Raw genomic sequence first — 10598 nt, 5'->3', positions numbered from 1 at the left:
TGTTGCCTCCACGAAAGGAACGAGCCCTGGGGTCAAATCCTGGCTCCTCCATTTAGCAGCTGGGGGACCTCAGACATGTCCCTTGCCTCTCTGACTCAATTGCCTCTGCCGAGCAATGGGCTGAGAGGATCCGATGCACAAAGGGCACTCGGGTTGTCCTGGTGCACGCGGAGGGACTCTCAATAGTGTCTGTTCAAATAGTCCAAATCACCAAGTTTTCTGAGGTGGCGAGTTCCCCCTTGTTTACTCCTCCTGGGCCCCATTTGGGCTTCAGAAGCAGGCTGACATGGTGCTGGCCTTCAGCCTCATGGCCTGGTGAGGCTGAGGAGGAGGCTCCAGGGCCCTGGACCTGGGACACCGAGGAGCGGCAGACATGGAAAACTCTTGTGTCATGGCAGCGTTTCCGAGCAGAGCCCAGGAGTGGTAAACTCTATTCTTAGTCAGTGTCCCATCACGTGGAGGGAAGCTTGTCGTTAGTGGGGAGTGAGGGAGGAGCTGCTGCATTTAACCCTGCAAGGGCCAGAGTGCTGCAAAGAACTGGAGAAGAAACCTGCTGCCTCTTGGGGAGGGGTGGAAATGTGAGTTGGACGGAGCTGGAGTCGAAGGGGCACCCCACGGGAGACACTCGTCAATACCTATGGGATGGATGCAATAACTAAGGCTCCCCAAGCAGGAATTGCAGGGGGAGCTAGGTGGCTTTCTAAGGGGACAGCAGCCAAGCATGCTCTGCAGGAAGTTTCCAGAAGGAGGCACTCTAAGAGAATATGCAAAGAGTCCTGATGGGCATCAGGAGACCAAATCCACTCCTGTCTCTACCACAGATAAGCTACGTGGCTGGGGACAAACCACAGCCCTTCTCTGGCCTTTGGTCTACGAATGAGGCAGTTAAACTCCCTAACTCCTCTGCTCAACCCCACGTGGGGTAAGAGCTGAGAGCAACACCCAAGACTGTGACCCCCTAGCGTGAGCTGCCAGGTCATTTATTTTTGCCACTAGAAGTCATTGATCGAACGAGTGTTTATTCCCTGTTCTTACTTAACCCTGATGTGCCCCTTGCCATATTATCCTTTTATTTTTATTTTTGAGGCAGGGTCTCTCCCAGGCTGCAGTGCAGTGGCACGATCTCAGCTCACTGCATCTTCTGCCTCCTGGGCTCAAAACATCCTCTCACCTCAGCCTCCCGAGTAGCTGGGACTACAGGCGCACACCACCACACCTGGCTAATTTTTGTATTTTTTTGTAGAGATGGGGTTACCCAGGCTGGTCTTGAACTTCTGAGTTCAAAGGATCCTCCCGCTTTGGCCTCCCAAAGTGCCGGGATTACAGGCGTGAGCCACCACGCCTGGCCTCACATTATCCTTCTAATATCATTTGTCAGGGAATGGCACAAGAGGGCCTGGGATCTAAGTGAGAGTAGTGTGACAATGCTGGATGGGGCAAAGCTAGATGTAAAGGCAAGAGAAGCATCTGGACAAGGCAGGACCTGGAGGAGATGCTGGTGGCCTGGGACCTGGGTGGGCAGCAAGTGGACATCCTGGAAGGAAATGTCCGGGCTCCCTGCACACCCTCCTGCCTCCTCCTCTCAGCCTCGGGTCTCGCCTGCTCTGTGTGAGTGTGTCCTCTCTGCCTCCTGGAGGCCGGCCCCTGTGTCCCTTGGTCCGCCAGGCAGGCACTCCTTGAGCTCAGCCTGCACTTGTTCAGGCCTCCCTGGGCCCTGGTGCTGCCAAGCCAGCCCCAAGCCCACCCTCCTGTCCCTGCCTCCCGCCCCAAGCCCTGGCTGTGCTGGCCACTCATTTCCTTTGTAATTAATCACTGCTGGTCTCCAGCGGTGTCTTCCCCTCTCCAGCTCATTTGCCTAAAGAAATGAGTTGCTTTGTGGAGGAAAAACAAATGCTCCCAGCTCTATGTCCTCTGTTTCCTCTCTCTCCTCCTCAGCCCTGAGAAATGTAGGGGCCAGGGTTTTCTCTGGCCATCTCTAGGACAAAGAGGAGGAGGCACTTGATTGCAGGGAAAACAGCCTCAGTTTCCCCACGTAAATTAAGATAAGCAATTCCCAGGAAGCCCTGGAAAGAGAAAAGTGCTTTCAGGCCCTGGTGGGGGTGGGAGGGAGAGAGTGGTGAAGCTCAGGCCTTCCACATGTTCACTGTCTCCTGGAACGCACCCCACCTGTGCCTGTCCCACCAGACCAAAGCAGCTAGAATGTTCTGTGAAGTTAATGAGCTTTGGATCCCCAAACAGAACAGAACTTGTCAGCTGGTCTCTCTCAAGCAGATACGCAAAGCCCGCCGTGCAGGCCATGACTCGTGTTGTCATGGGGGAAGAAGAGGGAAGGAAGATAGTATTTGAGTGGCTGAAACAGATAGGGAGCGAAAGGCTGTTGGGAGGAGGCAGGGGCTCCACCATGGAGGGGCTCCCCGGACTCTGGCACTGCCCAGGGAACTGCAGGGGGGCCGGGCCTTCTATCAAGACCTCCAGCACGGTGACCCTCCCAAGTGCAGCGCACACTGTGGCACTGGGTCAGAAACAGTTTCTGGAGTCTTCCTGGACTCCACCCAGTGACTGAGAGGCCTGGGTCCAAACCCTATTGCAGCTGCTGGCAAGGGTGATGCCTCTGAGACTGTGTTCCCATCTGAAGAATGGGGGTAGCAGTAGTCACTGCCTTTCAGCATTGTTAGAGGAAGAGTCAAGATCCTGCAGACAGAGCACTCAGCATAGTGACTGGCACGGAGTAAGTACCCCATAAATACCAGCTATTGCTTATTATCGCTATTATCAAGGTCTCCCGTGTTAGCATCAGAATGCAAGCAGTTGAGAGGGGCAGCATTCCAGGGGTGGCCTTGAATCAACTCTAATTTATTTTTCAAAAGTAAATTATATGCTAACTCTGCCATTCTGTGATTGCTGGTGAGCATGGCACTGAAACCCCTCATGGCTGATGGAGAGCCGGCATAGGGCCCAGCACCGGGGCTGAGGGCCAGGCTGGCTGCCCCAGGCCACCAGAGAGCCAGGGGTTGTGAGCTACAGCTTCAGAAAGGAAACCACCCAGCAGCCCTGAAATCCTCAGTGTCCCCAGGTGGCTGCATTGCTTTGGCCATCCCAGCTGGGCGTGGGGGTCCTGGAGGGGCTTGCCTGGGTCTGTGATGAAGCAAGCTGCATCGACAGAGACCAGGCCTGAGTGAGATGCAGCTGGCTGACCCCAGTCCTGAATGGGGATTTGGCCAGCCCATCTACCTGTTCTGAGCCTGGGGTGTCCTTCCTTCCCCCACAATGGAAGCCCAGGTTTGAGTTTCTGGGAACATCCCAGAGCCCTCTGCAATGCCTCAGGGCTGGGCTAAAGTAAGCAGAGAGACTCTGAGCTCTGGAATTAGACTGGAAGACACTGAAACAGATTTCTGCTGAGAAAAGTGACATCTTCTTGTGGCCCTGCCCTGGAGGAGTCCCCGGAGCTGCAGAAAGAGCAGGGCTCTTGGTCAGGGCCTGGGCTCCGGTCTTCACTCCGTGGTGGGACCGTATGCTCCCTCTACTCTACTGCCCTGACTCTAGAAGGAAAGATTGGACTACGGCTCCCCTGTGATTTCAGATCCCCTCCAGCCGAAACCGCTGAGGAGCTGTGGCAGCAAAGGCTGAGAGAGGAGGGGCGGCAGATTTGAGGAGGTCACTGCTGGGGGTGGGGTGGACCTGACCTGGCAGGCAGGGGCCTGGCTTTCCTGCCTGGGAAAGGGAGCTGTCCCTGTCCTTCCTCAGTGTGGCCACGATGGAGAATGACACAGGGACTTCAGCTTCCTGGCTTCTGTGAGTTTAGTGACCCCAGCCTGCTGACAGGGGAGACCTGAGCTGGGCTGGGTCTTCTGGGATGAAACCTGGTAGACACACCCTGGAGCGTGGCAGGTACAGGTCTGAGAAGGAGCATGTGGGTGACCAGCTCTAACCAAAATTAATATTTATGTAGCACTTTGTAGTTTAAAACGTAGAAACATCTAGCATCTCATCAAATCAGCCCAACTACCTCTTATCACACCCTGTTTACACATCAGAAAACTCATGCCAGAGGGGGTTAAGGGTTCTTCCCAGAATCAAGAGGACCCTCCTGCTTTTACCATTTTACCAGAGGCCCTCGTCTGGCTGGGAGAGACCTCAGGACCAACCTGGGCAGTTAGTTTCGACAGCAAGCCTGCCACATACAGTTGGGCAGGTTGTTAACTGCACAAAGCTGCTTGTCTGAGGGGGTGATTATGGGGGCTGGAATCCAGCTTCACTCTTGTCGCCAAGCCACACTCCCCAGTGTGGGACAATCTACCGAGAGCACAAAGGTACCATGTGGGCCAGTGGTGCCATAGGGGGCCACCCAGTGGAGCTGCCCCCAGCCTCAGCTTGCTGAATTGAAACACAAGGGTAATCCTCTCTCCTCCAAACTCCTCATCCCTCAAGGGAAGTGGGGCCAGTGAGTGGTTGAGAAAATCAATACACTACAAGTGCTTTGAGCTCCTTGAAGATAAGCTTTGTGACCAAGAGGGAGGTGATTAAAGGCAGGAGCTCTTTCTCTGTGGCACTGATAGGGATGGAGGAACGGGTCAGGCTGTCTGGGATGGGGATTTGCATGTGTGCATGGCAGATACTGGCCTCTGGACACTGGCGTTAGCATCCATCCCTCCTGCTGGACTGGGGGCTGAAGCTTGTGTCTCCCTTGTTTCTGAGCCCCTCCATGTCTCTCCCCGTGACTTGCACTTTGCAGAAGATCAATACACATTTGTTCTCGCTGAATTCAATTTTCTGTACATCCTATCATCGCGCTCCTCCATTCTGCTCCCTGTACAAACATGCAGTCATTCATGAGCACACACCCAACCTCGGGCTGGGAATCCCGAGACCTGTGTCCAAAGCCTGACTCTGCCCCCACGATGCTGCAACCTATGTACACTGCCTCTGCCCGAACCTCAGTTTCCCCATGTGCCAAGCGAGGCATTGGATAATATGGGTGGCAGGCTCCTTACCGCACAACGCAGGCTGGAGTCGCGGATGCCTCATGGCTATGCGCCTATGCAGAGCCCCCCTTTTGTCTCTGAAGGAGCGGAGATAAAACGGAGCCTAATCCGCACCAGGGAGACGAGTTCTCTGCCCGAGGGGCCAAGGGCACAAATTGGGCCGTCGTGTTGCATTACTTCCGCCAAGCTGGGCTCCACCATCTCACCTCTGTACCCCTGCAGACAGGGACAGTGATGGGCAGACAGCGCAGTGGGGGCAGGGGACCTGAGCCACCACGAGGCCCCCTGTCTCCACCATCAAAGGCAATGGGCGAGGGAGGGGGCCCAGCCCAGGAGGATTTTTAATGACCCCAAATCCTGGCAACTCATTATGTCTCTGATAAGGCAATGGGAGCTGTCATTCTGAGATGCAGCCAAGGAGGCTCCCTAGAGAAATTTTGCCGCCTTCTCGCTAATCTTCTTATAAACATTGTTATTTATTTTTTCTTATTTTATCCGACATGTGTCAAGCAGCCCCTGCTAAACCTGTGACATCTCCAGGGAGGCTGGCAGAGGTTTGGGGTTGGCCTGTCCCTCCCCAGCCCTCTCCAGCCCTGGCGCACAGCCCCTATAGGCCTGTTCTCTGGGCAGCCCACGTTCTGTCCACGCTGGCAGCTTTGAGATGCCCACAGGAGCTGGGTCTTGGGCCAGGAGACACAGGCCATCTGGGAGCTGGCCGTCAAGTGAGTGGATCACAGACTATGCCAGTTGGGGCTGGTTCCAAGGAGAAGGCAGGGCTGCCGCCACCACTGGCATCACAGAGTGCCACACCGCTGTGCTGGGAAGCCCCAGGCTTGCTGTGGGGCGCTCGGTCAACACCAAAGTAGCTATCACTGTATCTGCCACTGATGGCAACCACCTTCTCCCAGGCACCGTGCTCAGCCTTCTGAACACAAGAGAGCTCATTCACTCCCCGTGAAGTGGGTATTGATGTCAGCCCCACTTGTAGGTGAGGAAACTGAGGCCCAGAGGTTAAACCACTCACTAATGGTGTCCAGGCAGGAAGGGGCAAACTAGGGTTTTGAATCCTGGTGCTCAGAGGTAGAGCTGATGTCATATTTTCCTCATGGCCAGCCTACTTTGGAACCTCCAGGGGTCCCGGGAGAGAAGCAAAGCCTGAAATCATCTCTGCATTTCACAGATGAAGAAACAGGCTCAGAGAGAGCACGTGGCTTCCCTTAGGGATGCATTGCCAGGTCTCCTGACTTCTGGCTCAGAGTCTTTTTTTTTTTTTTTTTTTTTCAGGAAGTTCTCAGGACAGCTCCCAGACAGCATCTCCAGGATTTTGTCCTGTGTTATGGGGTGCTGATCTCTATAACATGGGCTGGGGCAATGCTAGGTGGGGAGGCCACAGAACTTCCACAGAGCACAAGGAGGTTTCCAGAAAGTCTTGGAGAGCCCCTCTAAACTGTAGTCCCTGGCAACGTTTGTGATAAACCTTACGGATCTCTCACAATGGTTTGTTACTAATAAAGCAGGCTGTAAAACAGTGCATATAGCATGATCCCATTTTACTGATACATAGTTATATGTATGCAAAGTATATATTGCAGAGGGAACCAAAGATTGGATTTACTGCTTTTGAAATAGCCTGGCTATTTTTTTTTTTTTTTTACATTCTTCTCCTCATTTAAGGCCAATATTTCAACCTTTTGGAGATCCTGAACCCAGAACAAGGCATGTGTTTCTTTAAAATGTTTTATTCTAAAATAATTTTAGATTTACAGAAGGGTTCAAAGATAGCACAGAGTTCCTGTGCACTCTTCACCCAGCTCCCCCTAATGCTCCTGCTAATGTTCACAGTGTTTCTCCTGGTGCAACACTGTGGGTTTCACTGTGGATCTCTTTCACATCACAGCAGGGGTGCACACATCAACAGGACTTAGCACTGGTGACGCTAACCTTGATCGCTGGGCTAAGCCGTATCTGCCAGCTTTCTCCACTGCGGTGTTGTTTTCCCCTCTTCTTATTCTATTATTAGAAGCAAGTTGCTAAGAGTAGCCCACACTCAAGAATAGAGGAATTAAGCTTCAGCTCTACTTCTACCTTCGTATATATTAATGCGTACACATCTGTTAAAACTACCGCAGTGATTAATATGTTTGGGGGAGACACTTGGAGGCTCTGCAGTGTCCTGCTTCTCCTTGAAGATTTGCCCACTAACTTTACCTTCCACTGCTGGATCCGGCCTGCAGACGTTCCTACTGTGTGTCCTAATGGTGACTTTTGATTTCTCATTCCTTCTACATTATTTGTTAGGATTCAGTACTCTTGTTATATATTGTGTTGCTCAGATTGTTGCAGCTTGGGCCTTCAAAACTCTTGCAGATGGATTCCTCTGTTCTTTTGACATGAGCCCCATCATATATATACATATATGTCAATCATACTGCTGCTTTTCATTTGTTTTTTTTTTTTTTTTTGTATTTTTGTTTGTTTTTGCACTACCTTACTTTCTGGCCCCACAAAATCCTCCAGGGTCATCTAGTACAATCTCTTACCAGCCCTAGGACCAGCCATCTCTCCAAGGAGTCCTGGTTCCTTTTATTGGCAAACAGTATTTGGAAACCAAGACCTGGGTGCTAGGAAGGCACATATTTTTGGACTTTTTTTTTTTTTTTAGATGGAGTCTCACACCGTCGCCCAGGCTGGAGTGCAGTGGCGCAATCTCGGCTCACTGAAAGCTCCGCCTCCCAGGTTCAAGCGATTTTCCTGCCTCAGCCTCCCATGTAGCTGGGATTACAGGCACCCGCCACCACGCCTGGCCAATTTTTGTATTTTTAGTAGAAACAGGGTTTCACCATGTTGGCCAGGCTGGTTTCAAACTCCTGACCTCAGGTGATCCACCTGCCTCGGCCTCCCAAAGTGCTGAGATTACAGGCGTGAGCCACTATGCCCGGCCAGGAAGGCACATATTTTTGAAGTCAGTTTTTATACTGAAAGACATCTGGAACTTGATATCTAGAAATGGATTGGCATCAGTCATAATCAGGTGTTCTTATACCTTTGCAATTAAGTATGCTTATGTAAACACATCTGGATCTCCATGTCCCACTTGAGCCTCACCCATAGAATGAACTTGAAAGGTCACTGCAAGGGTGAGGAGTGTTGCTCTGGGTTCAAATCTGTGCTGCTGGCATTTTAGTGCCGCTCAGCAGCTCGCCTCCAGTATAAACATCCAACTTTTCATCTGCACTCTCAGGATGTGCAAGCCGTAGAATTCGACATGTCTTTAAAATGTCGATGAACCATTTGGGAAATATTAGATCATGATTTAACGATTCTCCCCAGGTTTTACTCAATTATAAATTTAATATTCTTGACATTTTCCTTCACTCCTATGACACCTCTGAGACTCCAGAGACTGGGGAGAGAGCTCCAGAAACAAGGGTGTGATTGCAAAGGAACTAAGCAGGGCAAGGTACCTCAGCTCTCTGGCTAGTGTCCACCTTCTAAAATGGGAACAATGAAAACAAATGAGAGCACGATGAAAAAAATGCAGTGTTTATCACTATGAATGGTTATTGTTCTGTTTGCATGGCATGTGGTGTTCAGGCTCTGGACCCAGACAAACCTTGGTTCAAATCCTAGCTCTATCACTGACACCTGTGCAACTGTGGGCATGTCGGCTCACCTCTCTAGGCATCAGTTGTTTCATCTATAAAGTGGGGCACCAGTTCCGACCTCAGGGCACGTTATGAGGGTCAGATTAGATGATCAGAGTCAACTGCTTAGCACAGTGCCTGACAGATAATTCAATAACTTAGTAATAATAATCCCAGCAGGAATAATAGAGTTCCAATGACCTGTCAGAGGAAATGTTACTGGGTCATGTTGCATGGATTTAAGATCAAAACAGGAATCAAATTTAAGTATATTTAATGCAATAATTTTTTAAAATAGACTTTATTTTCAAAAGCAGTTTAAGACTCAACAGCAAAATTGAGCAGAAGGTACAGAGATTTTCCATATACCTCCTGTCCCTTCCACCTTCCCCACCATCAAAATCCCACTCCAGAGTGGTACATTTGTTGTGATCGATGAACCTATGATGACATGTCATCATCACCCAGAGTCCACAGTTTACAGCAGGCTTCGCTCTTGGTGTTGTACATTCCAGGGGTTTTGGAAAATGTATAATGACACGCAATCACAATTATTTTATCATGCAAGGTAATTTCACTTTCCTAAAAATCCTTTGTGCTCTCCCTGTTCATCCCTCCCTTTCCCCAACCTCAGCAACCACTGATCTTTTTTTCTTTTCTTTTTTTTCTTGTTTTCTTTGAGACAGAGTCTCATTCTGGAGTGCAGTGGCGCAATCTTGGCTCACTGCAACCTCCACCTCCTGGGTTCAAGCGATTCTCCTGCCTCAGCCTCCCGAGTACCTGGGACTACAGGCGCGCACCACCAGCCCAGCTAATTTTTGTATTTTTAGTGGAGACGGGGTTTCACCATGTTGGCCAGGATGGTCTCAATCTCTTGATCCACTCACCTTGGCCTCCCAAAGTGCTGGGATTACAGGCGTGAGCCACGGCGCCTGGCCCCACTGATCTTTTTACTGTCTCCATAGTTTTGCCTTTTCCAGAATGGCATGTAGCTGGAATCTTACAATACGTGGCCTTTTCAGATTGTTTTCTTTCACTTATTAAAATGCACTTCAGTTTCCTCCATGTCTTTTCATGGCTTCATAACTCATTCTTTTTTAGTGCTGAATAATATTTTCATTGTTTGAATGTATCACAGTTTATCCATTCACTTACTCAAAGACATCTTAGTTGCTTCCAAATTTTGACACATATGAATAAAGCTGCTATAAATAGCCATGTGCAAGTTTTTGTGCAGACATAAGTTTTCAATTCATTTCAGTAAATATCAAAGAGCACGATTGCTGGATATATGATAAAAGTGCGTTTAGTTTGATAAGAAACTGTCAAAACTGTCTTCCAAAGTAGCTGTAGCTTTTTGCATTCCTACCAGCAATGAATGAGAGTTTCTGTTACTCTACATCCTTGCCAGCATTTGGTGTTGTCAGTGTTTTTGGATTTTTGCCATGCTAAGAGGTGTGGAGTGGTATCTTATTGTTGGTTTAGTTTGCAATTCCTTAATAATGTATGATTTTGAACATCTTTTCATATGCTTATTTGATATTTGTACATCTTCTTTGGTGAGGTGTCTGTTCAGGTCTTTTGCCCATTTTTAAAATGGGTTGTTTCCTTCCTCCCTTCCTCCCTTCCTCCCTTCCTCCCTCCCTCTCTCTCTCTTTCTTTCTTCTTTCTTTCTCTTTCTTTCTTTCTTTCTTCTTTCCTTTCTTTCTCCTTTCTTTCCTTTCTTTTCTTTCTTTCTTTCTTTCTTTCTTTCTTTCTTTCTTTCTTTCTTTCTTTCTTTCTTTCTTTCTTTCTCTTTCTTTCTTTCTTTCCCTCCCTTCCTTCCTTCCTTCCTTCCTTCCTTCCTTTCTTTCTTTCTTTTTTTCTTTCTTTCTTTCTTTCTTTCTTTCTTTCTTTCTTTCTTTCTTTCTTTCTCTCTCTCTCTCTCTCTCTCTCTCTCTCTCTCTCTCTCTTTCTTTCTTTCTTTCTTTCT

The 10598-nt window shown here is 49.5% G+C and overlaps 1 annotated feature.

The window, feature by feature from the left end:
- Positions 2641-3406: an enhancer, noted in NCBI's record as "H3K4me1 hESC enhancer chr10:72821681-72822446 (GRCh37/hg19 assembly coordinates)". NCBI's record gives its function as "activates a minimal SCP1, AML or CMV promoter by ChIP-STARR-seq in naive H9 embryonic stem cells {active_cell/tissue: H9 hESC(naive)}" and the evidence as "EXISTENCE:reporter gene assay evidence [ECO:0000049][PMID:30033119]".

This window comes from Homo sapiens, chromosome 10 (genome assembly GCF_000001405.40).
Source record: "Homo sapiens chromosome 10, GRCh38.p14 Primary Assembly".
Classification (NCBI taxonomy): domain Eukaryota; kingdom Metazoa; phylum Chordata; class Mammalia; order Primates; family Hominidae; genus Homo; species Homo sapiens.
The sequence above is the reverse complement of the archived record's forward strand: the minus strand, read 5'-3'. Positions and strand labels throughout refer to the sequence as shown.